The sequence below is a fragment of the Homo sapiens genome, chromosome 17 (genome assembly GCF_000001405.40).
Source record: "Homo sapiens chromosome 17, GRCh38.p14 Primary Assembly".
In the NCBI taxonomy this organism is placed as follows: domain Eukaryota; kingdom Metazoa; phylum Chordata; class Mammalia; order Primates; family Hominidae; genus Homo; species Homo sapiens.
In genome coordinates this window covers 76,935,981-76,950,403 of record NC_000017.11, presented here as the reverse complement: position 1 = coordinate 76,950,403, position 14,423 = coordinate 76,935,981, and the positions used below count along the sequence as shown (strand labels likewise).

Genomic DNA, 14,423 nt, shown 5'->3' with positions numbered 1-14,423 from the left:
TCCAGCACAGTTCCTCTTCTGCACCTCACATCCCAATAAAATATTTATTATTTCAAGAAATAAATCTTTAAAAAAAAGAGAGAAAAAGAGTGTCTCTATTGCTTTCCCCCACAGGTTAGTCCTTGAGAACCAATGAGATTTTTTGCCATCGTGGTTTCTGTGGCTGCAGGGGCCAGCCAGGTCTGGAGGGGACTCCCACAGGAAGCGTCCAGCCTGGCCCCTCCACCAACTCTCAGCATCCCGGGGCTGCCTCCCGGGAAGGGTGGAGGAGCAGGCCTAGGCTGGTGGGTGGGGTTGCCTGGAGAGGGAGCGGGATTATAAAACTGGGTGGGTGGCAGTGTTCTGAAGGCCTGACCCGCTGAGGCAGGCGGGGCTCTGGGCATGGGGGGGAGGGAAAGGGGGCATCCTGGGGCAGGCGTGCCACTCGGAGAAGGACAGCTAGATCCAGAGGCGGTTTGAGGCTGGAGGAAGCTGGAGGTAGGGACAAGGACTCGGCACTGATGGGGTGGGGGGCTACCTAGGGTAAGTGGACAGGGCAACTGGAAACTGGGCAGGGCGTACCATGGGGCTGAGGGTCCATCCCAAGCCCTTGTCTGCAAAAAATGCCAGGGAGTGCGGGAGTCAGCACCTGCGGAAGTGGCTAGTGCATGAAGGCCACCCCCCAGGCAGGGGTCCCAGAGCCTGATCTCTGAGGCTGGACTGGAAACCTGCCCCTTGGAGGGGGTAGGGATTGAGGCTTTGGAACAAATCCACCACCTGGAGTTGCAGGTCATGCCAGGATGGGTTTTGGGAGAAGCCCAGAGTGAAAAGGGTTGGAACAAGCAGGAGAGAGAAACAATTCAACCAGGGTCTGGGTGGTCCCTACACCCCCAACTGTGGTCCTCAAGTGTAGAGGGAGGGTGGGGGAATCGGGAAATCGGGAGGGAAGGGACTAAGGGGAGGCACAAACAGGACCCCTCGGCTTAGCCTTCTCCCAGCCCCCTGCCCCTCTGTCCACATCCCAAACACCAATGGGCCCTGTGTGCCTGGCTCCCCTCACAGGAGAAGGGCGAGCCCCCAGTTTCCCTGCCTGGAGCAGGTACCACCCAGGCCCACTCTCCAGGGCCATGGGGAGGGCCCCTCCTTGGACCCTTCAGGGACCGTGGGGCAGCCTGGTCCCTGTTCCTCTCCCTTGCAAGTCTAGAGGCCCCATCCTGGGCCCAAGAACGACTGGGCCCCTTTCGCCACCTGGCCCAGATCCGGCCTTGCACAAAGCCAGGGGCCTCCGACCACCTGCTCCTGGGCCATGCGGACTCTGAGCAGTCCGACACCTGCTTGGCCACGATGCTTCTGTGAGTCCCCAGGAGAGAACCGGAGCCTGCCTGGGAGGTCCCAGGGGCTCGGCATGCTGCCTCCTCCTATTCCCGGGCACGGCTCTCCTCTGCCAGCTTCCCGGCTAAGGAAGGAAGCTCCGGCCTGGGGGGGTTGCGAGGAGGACAAGCAGCCAGGGCTCAGAACCTGCTGGTGCTTTCTCCCGCGGCAGGAGAGAGCCAGCGTGGGTGCCAGGCAGGGCGGCAGAGGCGGATTCACAGACAGCCCTGGCACAAGGCCACCTGGCCCTTGCGGAAGTCGCGGCAGGGGCAGAGCCGGCGGTACTTGGTGTTGGAGCCGGCGCAGCTGAAGAGCAGAGGCTCCTTCTGCAGGTAGCACTCCTGGCCAGGCTGGGCGAACGCCGGGTACAGGTGGTTCATCTCCGACTCGGTGCTGTCACAGGGCACCTGCAGCCTGGCAGGGACCACACAGCACCGTCACTCAGCGTTGGTCACTTGGGCAGAAGGGCTGGGGCGGGGTAGGGGCTGCCCCCAGCCTAGTCCTGCCTGCTCCCCTTCTCTGGCCCATCCCATCCCAGCCTGGGTAAGGAAATGTGTTACGGCTCCTTTATCCCACCTGCTGTCCAAGGGACCCCTGGAGAAGAGAGGGGCCTGGCCTGGAGGGGCTGGGGACCCAGGCAGACCCAGTAGGAGGAGCACCTGGGACAGCTTTCATGGTCTGGGACAGGACGATGCCCACAGGCTGGGCAGGGGGCTGAGTGGGTGGAAGAGAGCAGGCAATGGAAGGAGCTTTCCCTGGTAGTTTAGGGTTTGGCCAAGAGTAGGGCAGCAATGACCTGGATAATGGCCTGGAGGATCCCTTCTGGATCCTTCCTGACTCATTGGAAAGCATTACATCCCCCCACACTGGCAGGGCTGAGGGCCGGTTCTGGGCATGAGAGCTCTCAGTGAACCCGGCTGGGCCAGCGATGATAGCGGCTGGGTGGGGAGGGTGGGGGAACACTCACTTGAGGAAGGCGTCCTGGCTGTTCAGGAAGGGGAAGAAGGAGGGCTCACAGATTAGCCCGTGGTCCAGGCAGGTGTCGGTGCAGGCCCTCCCAGGCACGGCCAGCCAGGCCCGCAGGGCGTGCGCGGGGGGCCAGGCCCCAGGAGCCAAGCTGGTGTTCCGAGCCCACTCGAGGTGGGTGGCATTGGGGGCCAGGACAAAGGGGCTCTGCGGGGCGTGGGCCTCTGGTAGGGCAGGGTCTGGAGCTCTGCAGAAGTCCTGCAAGGAGGAGAGCAGTGTCAGGGTGGGGAAGTGCGACCCAGGTGTGCCTGGGAGACACCTGAAGGTGTGGCCCTGCCGTGCCAGTACGAGCCACCACTACTGGGCGCTTACTGAATACCAGGTAGCTTTACCTGCATTATTTCATTTACTTCTCATGGACACTCGTGTCTCCAGATCGCTTACAGGAATTATGGAGGCTCAGAGGTCACGGCATCCGCCCAGGGCCTTGGGGTTGGATGGCAGAACAGGACTTGGATTCAGGGCCCTCTGCATCCTGTGTGCCCTGGAGCTGCCTCGATGCTCAGGTCAGGCTGGGGTTCCTACCCTGGGGCCCACGAGCCCTGCCCTCCATGGGGACAGGGCCCCAGGCTGGCTGTGAGGCTCTCCCTGCAGGGTTCAACTCCAGGGGCCGGAGGGCCCCGCGAATGCTTTTCTGTGAGCTTCCAGTCTGGGTCCAGTCCTGGGTTCTGGCCACGGCCCTGACCCTCACCCCCTCACCTGAATACACTCTCCCTTCTGGGGGTTTCAGTATTCCCATCTGTAAAGGGACAGGGGAGAACCAGACTCTCTCAGCCCCTAATATTGGTGGGGCCAACAAGATGGAAAGGGAGGTCACGTACTATCTGTGGAAATTTCTTACAGCCATACGGCCACCTGCCCCAGGGCCCTGAGCCCAAGGCCCACCCCAGGCATCACCCTGGACACCCGGGGCCTGCAGAGCCACGCTCCATCTGGGCCACCTGCAGCCCTCATGGTGGCTCAGATCCACCAGGATGCAGTGGAGGGCCAGGACTCCCCAGGAATAGGGCACGCCCTCCTCCTCACCCACGACTTCCAGGCACTCTGAGCACCCGTGGGAGGAGAAGGAGTGTACTCCTTGGACAGGTGCCTGCCCAGGCGCTCCCTCGGGGGCTGAGGTGGCCGAGTTTTTGAAACCGTGGGGCTGTCCCCTGGTTTCTCAGGGCAGAGATCCTAATCTCCCATTCCAGTCTCACTGCCATCCTTAGCAGGTGGGCGGAGAGTCTGGGGATCTTCACTTCCCATTCAGTTACCAAATCCCAATCAGTTAGCAGACTTTCGAACCACTGTTTTCTAAGAACGGAAGTCTTTGTGTTTCTGTTAGTGCCGTGGAGTTGGGCTCTAAGGCTGGGCCCAGACAGCAGGAGTGCCCGGAGTGTGCTGCTTTCCAGGCCCGCAGTCAGGCCTGCCTGTCTCCAGCCCTGAGGGAACTCTGGGAAGAGACTGGACAGGCTGGAGGAGGGAGCAGGGAGTTGGATGGTTTCACGGGTGCAGGGCCCTGGGCAGACAATGAAGCTGGCTCAGCCCCCTCCTCTGGTCTGACAGGATCTGGGGCAGGGACCAGAGGGCTCACTGACCTGGTGCTGGATGTAGGCGTGGATCCGCTCCAGCATCCCCTCGCAGGTGTACTCGTAGGGTAGGTAGGGGTCTACCTGTGGGAGGGATGGGCAGACACATGGGGCGGGAGAAGGCCCAGCCGTCGGGGGCCCTGCCATGCTCGGCATTGGGGGTGGAGGTCTGGTGGGCTCTCACATCCTGTGCCATGCCCAGGGAGCCGACCACCCCATCCACCTGGCCCTTCCACCCAGCTCAGAGTCCCCGTTCCCCGCACACCCTCCAGTAGCCCTCCGGGACTCAGGCTCAGGACCCACAAGGCCCAGCCTCATCCCTCCCCACCCCCTCCCAGGTCCCTGTCCCAACTGCAATGAGGATAAAGCTCAGCGCTGTGTCCCCTACTGGGCTTTGACACCTCCTCTTCCCACAGCCCACCCACCCTCTTAGGCATCACCTGCTCCAGGGAGCTTTCCCTGAGCCCCACCCCCACTCCTGTTACAGGAACACTTTCCTTGGTGACTCCCAGCACCCCAGACTTCCCCCAGCACAGAATGAGCCCCTGTGTTATTGTCTCCTGTGTATTCGTCATGTCTCTCATAAACTTATGGACACCTTGAGGGTGGGGACTATGGCTTGTTCACACTGAATCTCCAGTGCCTGGCACAGTGCCTGGCATACAGTGGGTGCTCAGGAAATAGTCATGGAATGAAAAGGCATCCCCAGCTCTGCCTGTATCCTGCCCAAGACATGGGACATTCATGCAGAGGAACACAGGGGCATCTCCCAGTCAGCGGGAATGAGATGACATTTGTAAAGTACCCTGCCCCCACAGGCACAAACCCCCAAACAGAGGCCACAGGTTGTCTGTCTAAATATCTAATAGTTAGCCCGGCACGGTGGCTCATGCCTGTAATCCCAGCACTTTGGGAGGCCGAGGTGGGCGGATCGCCTGAGGTCAGGAGTTCAAGACCAGCCTGGCCAACGTGGTGAAACCCGGCTCTACTAATACAAAAAAAATTAGCTAGGCGTGGTGGCAGGTGCCTGTAATCCCAGCTACTTGGGAGGCTGAGGCAGGAGAATCACTTGAACCTGGGAGGTGGAGGTTGCAGTGAGCTGAGACTGCACCATTGCACTCCAGCCTGGGCAACAGAGTGAGACTTTGTCTCAAAAATAAATAAATAAATAAATATCTAATAGTCACACAGCAACCTGTCCTGTGGGCAGATGCATGCAGTAGCTTGGGTAAAAGAAACCAGGGGAGTGGAGGGAAGAGTGACAGAGGAGTAAGGGGGTACTCCTGCCTCCCCCCGACTTCTTAACCAACCAACCCCTTCCTGTTCCATTAACCTTCTCAGGCCCAGTGCAGAGCCACCGTGGAGAAAATCACTGACCTGAAAGGGCAGGGGCAGCAGTCAGGACTCAGGAAGGAGCCATCCCGGACTCAGAGAAAGGTCTGTTTTAGGCTTCAACCTCCCCACCCCACCATGCCTGGTGGCACCTGACCTGGCCCAGCCCATCTCCTAATGAGGCCGCTTTCCCGTCTTTAGCCAGTGGGTGAAATCTAACTGTTTGACTCAAGCCTGCAACCACCTCCTTTCTTCCTCATCAGCGTTGGGTGGTGCTAGAAAGTCCAACTGCGCCAAGCTCGGTCCTGCCTTCTGTGTACCCCACTTCTTAGGAGACTCGTCCTGGGGCCTCTGGCCAAGGGGACATCCCTGACACTCAAGGGTCCCAGGGAAGCGGCAGTCACTGATGTCCTTGAAGCCGGACATTGCCCCAGCACTGACGTCCCCCTGCACTGTGCGTGGGTATTCTCAACGCTGGGGCAAGTTCGAAGTCCCGGAGAATCTGCAGGTCCCATCCCCAGCCCAGCCTTGAAGCCCCGTGCTCTGCACAGCCCTGTCCCGACCTGCTCTCATTCCCGAGCCGATGGCCCAAGAAGACCCTGGCAGCCAGTTGCTGCCCCAGCTGGTTCCCTAAACACTCATGACGAAGTCCTGGGAGCCTCTGAGCCCCACACACTTCTGGGGGTCTTGCGGGGACAAGGCTTCACTCTCAGGTTATAAATAAAACTCCCCAGAGAAGAGCTTTCCCCTCCAAATGCCGCTCCCCGGCTCCGTGACAGCAAATCTCTGAGTTACTCTTGCTCCTGTGTCTGTAAGCCCTTGTCACAAGATAATTCAAAGGTCCCTGTGTGAAGCAAACACTCACGGCCAACGACGACGACGACGTTCCGCCTGCCACGAATCTCCTGCCGGAGGAGCCAGCCTGCCTGGCCTGGAAATTACCCCCATTAGGTCTAATTACAGGTGTGCGCCCTAATCAGTCTCGACAGAGTGACAGGTGCTGATCCTGCCTGGGAACTGCTGGCCTGCGGGAATGACAGCAGGGAGGGGTGCAGCGGAAGCCAGTGTTGGCATCACCTTGAATGGCCTTGCTCTGGACACAGAGATGTCCACAGGCAAACCCAGGGAGGTGCAGAGACACAGAAGGGGTGCCGGGCCCTGGTTTTCCATGGCTGTCAGGCCCGGGGCCGGCTCGCTGTGTCTTAGACCTCCCTCTTCTCACCTCTTCTTCTCACCTCTTTCTCCCCATCCTGGCCGCTCCTCCCTCCCTCTCCCTGTAAAAGGCCACATGACTTGCAGAACAAGCCACTCCCCATGATGGCAGCCCTCATTTGCTCTCAGCCTCCACCAGCTGTCCCTAAATCTGTTTTCTAAAATAGAATTATTAGGCCGGGCATGGTGGCTCATGCCTGTAATCCCAGCTCTTTGGGAGGCCGAGGCGGGAGGATTGCTTGTGCCCAGGAGTTCGAGACTGGCCTGGGCAACAAAATGAGACCCCCCCCCCACCCCACCCCATCTCTATTCAAATAATATAAAAAGAAAATTTTAAAAAAATAATAAAATGGGAAGATTAGAATTACCCAGAGTTCTTGTTTAAAATGCAGATTCCCACGCGAAGCTGGGTCCTATTAAATGGGAAGGTGCGGGATAGGCTCGAGGATCTGCATTTAAGGCCCTCCCCCCGGGTGACTCTTGGGCACATAAATGTTTTTGAGCTGCTGTGAGCTGAGGGGGTGAGCTGTTATGCGGAGGGGTGGGGCCCACAGAAGGGAGGGGTCTGAAGGCAGAGGGGCCTCCGTTGGTTTGGGGCCCAGCACAAATCTCAGCTGGTCAGATTTGCAATACCTTGCTTCCTTAATCCTTTTGTAATTGTTATTTTTTAATTAACTAATTAACAAAATTAAACAGATGTTCATGTAAAAAAAAACCAAACAGGAAAGCAATGAAAGGGAAGTTTCCTCTCACCGCAGACAGTCAGTCCTTCCCCCAGTTATCAATTTCTTGTGTGTCCCACCAGAAATACCCGCGACTATCGCAGCACCTTCATGCACACAGCCCTCCCCCGACCCCGCTTTCTGGGCCTCCCGGGGGGGCAAGTTATCCCCAAGGTGGAGTGTCTCGCTCTTTTAGCTTAACAATGTGTCTTGGAGGTTGGGCCAAACGCTGCTCCCCACATTGGAAAAGTCTATGTAGTCCCCCTCCCCAGCCTTGCCCGAGCCCCTCTGCAGGAGAAGTCTTAGAGGATTGGTTTGCAAGGGGAGGGGAGAGGGAGGAGAGCAGAGGGAGGTGGGTGGAGAAGTGGGAGAAGAAGCTGGAGGAGACTGTGGGGTGACAGGAGCCCCCTTGCCTACCTGTACGCCTTGTTGCCAGCTTCCCCGTGCAGGGGGCTGGGGTTGGTCAGTTTCCAGCAGTGAAATTAATCAGTTAACCCCCTTCACTCTTCTTTCCTATGCACTGAGGTCCCTACCTAAGGCCTCCTTCCTGGCACTGGTACTTCTAGCCCCATTTAAGCCTATAAGCTGGTACCAGTCAAATACCTGGCCCTCTTCCTAGGGCGTGGCCAAGGGGCCAAGTTCCTATTTATCTTTTTAAAATTTTTTTGAGATGGAGTCTCGCTCTGTCACCGAGGCTGGAGTGCAGTGGCATGATCTCGGCTCACTGTAACCTCCACCTCCCAGGTTCAAGCGATTCTCCTGCCTCAGCCTCTTGGTGGATCACAGTCGTGTGCCACCACGCCTGTCTAAATTTCTTTTTGTATTTTTAGTAGAGATGGGGTTTCACCATGTTGGCCAGGCTGCTCTCAAACTCCTGGCCTCAAGTGATCCGCCCGCTTCGGCCTCCCAAAGTGCAGGGATTACAGGTGTGAGCCCCTGCTCCTGGCCTCTAGTTGCTTTTGCTCTACAAGGCCTTGCCAGAACTTAAGCCACCAGCCCAGGACAGGGGACAACACTGCGTTGAGAGCTAGCAAGGGAGCTTTTTATCCCTCCCCACTCTGTCTAGGCCGGTGCTTTGCTAGGATCCAGCATTACAAGGTCACACAACCTCTCCCTGCAGCAGGGCCATCAGCGCCCCACCCTCCGTCACCGGTGACTCCACCTCAAGGCTGTCTCTGGCCTGCCGAGCCCATCTGTGTGCAGGCCAAAAGTGTCAGGAACTGGCATCCCAGGCACCACCCTCAGCCACAGATGGATGGGAAGAGGAGGATACCTACCCTAGCCTCTTTCTCCTCGGGCAGGACAGCTCTGGGATGTGACCTACCCCATCTTGCAGAGGCCCCCGTGGTGATGAGCTCCAGGTGCCACCTGCTGATACACACCCTGCCTCACCTGGCACCTCCGTGCCTGCTTCCTGGGGTTGCCTCCCAAATAAGCTACTGCTAAAATCCCTGTTTTCATGTTACTTCCTGGAGGAATCCAATCTCAGACAGTCCCTAACTTTGAGAAACCTGCCATGTTGGCCAGGCTGCTCTCAAACTCCTGGCCTCAAGTGAGCTGCCCGCCTCGGCCTCCCAAAGTGCTGGATTACAGGCGGGAGCCACCATTCCCGGCCTGGAGCAATTATTTTTGCTCAGCCTATCATCTGAGCTATAGCAAGAAGGGGATCCAGGAGAACCATAGTGAGAGGAGGCTCTCTCGTTCACCAGGTCTGAGCCTCCCCAGAATGAAGGAACCAGCCAAGCACAAGGCACGATCAAAAGCCACAAACATGTCCACTGCGGAGATGAGCATCAGGCACAAGCCCCTCCTCACTCTCACCCAGCCCACACATGTGCACCTACACACACCAGCACCCACGTTCGCTGGAGACCCAGGGTGTTCTGCCCCCTTGCTACTCGAAGCGTTGCCCCGCATTAACAGACGCTCTGTATGCACATTATATTTTGAAATGTGCTGTGTAAAGGCTGCAAAGCCACACCTGCAGCAGTTTCAAGAACCTCCACACATCCATCGTGAAAACATTCAGTTAGCACCTGGCCCTCAAAAGTGCTCCATAAACAATTTGAGATCCAGGGCTGCCATGTAAGGTTGTGCAGGTTGCTCACTGCACAAAGGCATTCCCCACACATCACACCTGAGTAGATGAATGGGATCCCCCATTCCATTCTCCAATCCACATGCCCTGGCTCAGGGCTGTGTCTGACCAGGGGAGGGATGGACACCTTTGCCAACCCAGGCCTGCAAGTCTGAACTCACCCAGAGGGGGGCACCGTTTTCTAATCAGAGTGAAGACCAGCAGTGTGGACTAGTGGGGGGTCTCAACTGTATGTGGCTGCTCTCACCTGAGTTCTCATAATGGCCTTGATGGCTGCTTCAAACTCCTCTGAGTTGTTGTAGTCGACTGTCCACACGTGGGGCTTGCCGATGAAGTTCTCCGCGTAGGGATGCTGGGAGAACACCTGGCAAGGGTACAGAGATTGCAGATGCCCCCCGTGCCTGCCAGTGGGACAGGGACAAAGAAAGGTACCCCATACACTTGTCCTATCTCCTTTTGCCCCACATCTCAGTCTGCCTCTTCCAGGACCTGCAGGGGTCTCTGTCCCGGCCCCTCCTGATCGGGGACCAGGATGCTTTCCACTCACCTCTCTGGAGGTGGGCTTGCCTCGGAAGAACTCGTGGTTGAGGGAGCTGTGGGGCGGGCTGAAGCGGGACTGCAGGAAGATGCAACCATTGGCGATGGCCTCCAGGGGGGCGGGGCCCTCGTAGGGGAAGCCAAACCCGATGAAGAGCTGCAGAGTCAAGGGGCGCAGTGATCAGGGAGGGCTGGGCCGCCACAGCCCAGTAAGCACCAGGATGCCGGGGACAAGGTGAGGCTTCGGGATATTCACAGGAGGCAGCTGGGCCTGGAGCGATTATTTTTGCTCAGCCTGTTATGTGAGCTATAACAGGGCTGGAAAAGCCAGCCCAGAACATCTTGTGCCACGGGCAAGCACTTCCCCTCTCTGGGCCTCAGTTTCCCCATTTGTGAAATAAGGGGGTCTAATTAGGTATTATCAATGGTCTCTTCTTGCTCTATCAGGCTATGATTTATGATTGTGGAGGGAGGAAGAAAAGAACAAGGGTTTCAGGCCAAGAAAGCTGCAGGCCCGCACCTGCAAGAGACCTCCAGGAACCTCACTCACTCATCCCAAAAACATTTATTCAGCATCTAACTTGTGTGAGGCTATTTACAACAGCAAAGACATGGAACCAACGGAGGTGCCCATTAACGGTGGCTTGGATAAAGAAAGTATGGTACATAGACACCATAAGATACTACGCAGACATAAAAAAAAACAAAATCATGTCCTTTTCAGCAATATGGATACAGCAGGAGGCCAATATCCTAAGTGAATTAAAGCTGGAACAGAAACCAAATACCGCATATTCTCACTTATAAGTGGGAGCTGAACATTGGGTACTTATGGGCATAAAGATGGCAACAACAGACACCTGGGGACTCCCAGAGTGGGGAGGAGGAAGGGGGTAAAGACGGAAGAATTAACTACTGGGTACTATCCTCACTACCTGGGTGACAAGATCCTTCATATCACAAACCTCAGCATTATGCAATATACCCAGGTACCAAGCCTGCATATGTACCCCTTAAACCTAAAATAAAAGTTGAAAAAAAATTTTGAGACGGAGTCTTGCTCTGTCACCAGGCTGGAGTGCGGTGGCACCATCTCATCTCACTGCAACCTCTGCCTCCCGGGTTCAAGCAATTCCCCTGTCTCACCCTCCTGAGTAGCCAGGACTACAGGCGCCCGCCACCACACCCAGCTGATTTTTTGTTTGTTTGTTTGTTTGTATTTTAGTAGAGACAGGGTTTCACCATGTTGGCCAGGATGGTCTCGATATCCTAACCTCGTGATCCGCCCACCTCGGCCTCCCAAAGTGTTGGGATTACAGGTGTGAGCCACCGCACCTGGCCAAAATTATTATTTTTTAAGTAACTTGTGCTAGGAGTGCACAGGGCTGGCCTCAAAGGCACTTAATAAATGATTCTGAATCCAGGGCTGTTCTGTGAGGTTGTTCAGGTTATTCACTGCATGCAAGCATCTCCACTGCCCCCAACACACACACACACACACACACACACACACACACACACACACACACCCCCAAGATGCCTTGGGAAACAAGCTATGGTGAGATCAAGAGAGGGCCTGGGGCCAGGTGCAGTGGCTCACATCTGTAATCCCAGCACTTTGAGAGGCCGAGGTGGTAGGATCGCTTAAGCCCAGGAGATTGACACCAGCCTGGGCAATGTAGGAAGACACCATCTCTACAAAAAATTTAAAAATTAGCCAGGTGTGGTGGTGTATGCCAATAGTCCCAGCTACTCGGGAGGTGGAGGTGAGGGGACTGTGTGAGCCTAGGAATATAAGGTTGCAGTGGGCCCTGATTGCACCACTGCACTCCAGCGTGGGTGACAGAGCAAGACCCTGTCTCATAAAAAAGAGGGTGAGGGGGTGCCTAGAAGCTGGCTGGAGACTCTCCAGCCTCAGCTGATACTCCAGGGTCCAGTCAGGGTTTTGCCCACTGTGTCAACTGCTGCTCCAGCAGTACAGCTCAGGGACCCCTGAAGCAGTCACTCAGGACTAGTGGCTCAATGGCACTCTAGCCAGGACCCTTCTCTCCACCCACCCAACCACCCCCCAGCTCAGTGTCTCCAAAAGCTAGGCCTGACCCAGGAGTCCATTTGGCTGGACTGGTACTGCAAGGGGGAGGATGGGCAGTCCAACTCTACTTCCCCATCACTGAGCCACGGCTCTGCTGCTCTGCTGGCCCTGCCCAGGTCCCTTTCTCTATAGGACCTCTCCTGCCTGGTGGGCACCCACATCTCTGCCCCTGGGCTCTGGCCAGATGTGGGGCTCAGGGCAGCAGAGCATGCTGGGGTATGTCCATATGTGGAAGGGGCCTGAGTGGTGGTGGCAGGCATGGGTGGTGACCTCAGTGTCTGCAGCCGGCAAGTGTGAGAATGGTGCGGGGGATGGGAGCTCACTTTGGCCTTGCGCAGCAGCTGCTGAAACTCAGGCTGCGGTAAGAGGCCGTGGTTCTTCACAAAGGCTGGCACCTCGGGGGGCCGCTGGCTCTCGTAGTACACGGTGCCATGGATCTCCATGTATTTGTTCAGGATGCCCAGGAACTTCTCCTTCCCCTGGAAAAAGAAGAGGAGGAGATGGGAACCACATGCAAACCACAGAAGGCAAAGTCCATGGAGGAGATCCCTTTGGTCTGGAAGTCAGAAGATGTGGACCCAGTCTCAGGTTGGCCATTAACTGGCTGTGGGACACTGGGAAAGGCCCCGCCCCTCTCTGGCCCTGAAAACCTATGAATGGCAGAGATTGGACTAGAGCAGAGGCTTCAGGATTACTTTTAGCCATGAAACTGTTTTCTTTCCAAAGGAACCCTATGGGGACCAACATTTAAATGGATTCACGTGGTGCCACTTGGCATCTGCTGAACCCCTAATGACCTCTAAGCTCCTCTGAGGAGCTGTGGAGCTCTCTGTAGTCCATTCATCCATCTCTCTCTCTCACCCATCCCATCCATCCTATCCATCCATCTACCCACCATCCATCCATGCACCCACCATCCATCCATGCACCCACCATCCATGCATCCATCCATCCATCCATTTGTCCACCTGCCCATAACTCTATGCGTCCACCCACCCATCCATCCATTCACCCATCCATCCCTCTCAAACATCCACCCATCCACTCATCCACCCACCCATTCATCCATCCATCCCTCTCACACATCCCTCCACTCACCCATCCACCCATCGACTCATCCATCTATCCATCCATCCTCTCATTCATCCATCTTATCTGCCCATCCCTTCTTTCACTGAAGGAGGGGGACCTCTGATGGAAGCTCCATATTTGGAATTAGAACTCAGAGGAATTCCACCCTAGAGAAAAGGATGAAACAGAGCTAGACCAGTCCTTGCAGGGGCTGAATCCATTTTGTCTTAATCACCATATTGATCAAGGTGATCCGAGATTGCTAGGGCCCCCAGCTATAAGCCAAGAGTAAAAGTAAATTCTCTCTGGAGTAAAATAGAGTCATCCTTGATCTTAAATTATCTCTACAATTTTTCATATTCATTTTCCAGAACTCAAAAAAAAAAAAAAACATTGAAATCCCAATCAAACTCCCAGTACTTTTTTGTAGAAATTGATAAGCTGATTCTAAAACTCATTTGGAAATGCAAAGAACCTAGAATAGACAAAACAACTTTGAAAAAGAACACAGTTAGCAGGCTTATATTACCGATGTCAAGACTTCTTATAAAGCTACAGTAATCCAGATAGTGTGGTATTGGCATCAAGATAGACAAACAGATCAATGGAACAGAATACAGACTCCAGAAATAGACCCACACACAGTGTGGTCAACTGATTTTCGACAAAGGTGCAAAACATTTCAGTGGAGGAAGGATGGTTTCATCAGTAAATGGTCATGAAACATGATATCTACACGCAAAAACGTAAAAGAACTTTTTACTTATTATATGTAAAAGTTCATGCAAAATGGATCACAGACTTAAATGCAAAACCTAAAACTATAAAACTTATACAAAAAAACAGGAAAGAAATCTTTGTAACCTTGGGTTAGACAAAGATTTCTTAAATACAACACCAAAAGCACAATCCCTAAAAGAAAACACTGGACTTCATTAAAATTAAGAACTTTTCTCTTTGAAAGACATTGTTTTGTTTGTTTGTTTTTGGGACAGAGTCTCCCTCTGTCGCCCAGGCTGGAGTGCAGTGGTGCGATCTCGACTCACTGCAACCTCCGCCTCCCAGGTTCAAACAATTCTCCTGCCTCAGCCTCCTGAGTAGCTGGGACTACGGGCGCACGCCACCACACGTGGCTAATCTTTTGTATTTTTAGTAGAGATGGGATTTCACCTTGTTAGTCAAGCTGATCTCAATCTCCTGACCTCGGGATCCACCCCGCCATGGCCTCCCAAAGTTCTGAGATTACAGGCGTGAGCCACCGTTCCCGGCTGAAAGACACTGTTAAGAGAAAGACAAGGCCAGGCGCAGTGGCTCATGCCTGTAACCCAGCACTTTGAGAGGCTGAGGCGGGAGGATCGCTTGAGCCCAGGAGTTTGCGACCCGAATGGGCAACATAATGAGACCCCGTCTCTCTG

General features: G+C 55.3%; 1 protein-coding gene across 6 annotated transcripts in view, besides 2 other annotated features; it reads right to left on the bottom strand.

Moving 5' to 3' along the window:
* Positions 1–10: 10 nt before the first annotated feature.
* The window catches only part of MGAT5B (alpha-1,6-mannosylglycoprotein 6-beta-N-acetylglucosaminyltransferase B), an 81,990-nt gene continuing 67,577 nt past the window's right edge, over positions 11–14,423 (bottom strand). For 3 of the 6 annotated variants that reach the window (NM_001199172.2, NM_144677.3, XM_006721707.4), the window contains 6 exons: positions 12,261–12,416; positions 9,856–10,002; positions 9,556–9,672; positions 3,954–4,028; positions 2,318–2,574; positions 11–1,764 (listed from right to left, as the gene is read on the bottom strand). In NM_001199172.2, the coding sequence (NP_001186101.1) occupies positions 1,566–1,764; positions 2,318–2,574; positions 3,954–4,028; positions 9,556–9,672; positions 9,856–10,002; positions 12,261–12,416 (951 nt within the window). In that variant the 3' untranslated portion in view covers positions 11–1,565. Of the gene's footprint in view, positions 1,765–2,317; positions 2,575–3,953; positions 4,029–5,146; positions 6,302–9,555; positions 9,673–9,855; positions 10,003–12,260; positions 12,417–14,423 lie in introns of those variants that run through there. The other 3 variants (NM_198955.1, XM_011524352.3, XM_047435383.1) reach the window with 3 other exon arrangements.
* Positions 9,314–9,872: an enhancer, noted in NCBI's record as "H3K4me1 hESC enhancer chr17:74936614-74937172 (GRCh37/hg19 assembly coordinates)". NCBI's record gives its function as "activates a minimal SCP1, AML or CMV promoter by ChIP-STARR-seq in primed H9 embryonic stem cells {active_cell/tissue: H9 hESC(primed)}" and the evidence as "EXISTENCE:reporter gene assay evidence [ECO:0000049][PMID:30033119]".
* Positions 12,180–12,722: an enhancer, noted in NCBI's record as "H3K4me1 hESC enhancer chr17:74933764-74934306 (GRCh37/hg19 assembly coordinates)". NCBI's record gives its function as "activates a minimal SCP1, AML or CMV promoter by ChIP-STARR-seq in naive H9 embryonic stem cells {active_cell/tissue: H9 hESC(naive)}" and the evidence as "EXISTENCE:reporter gene assay evidence [ECO:0000049][PMID:30033119]".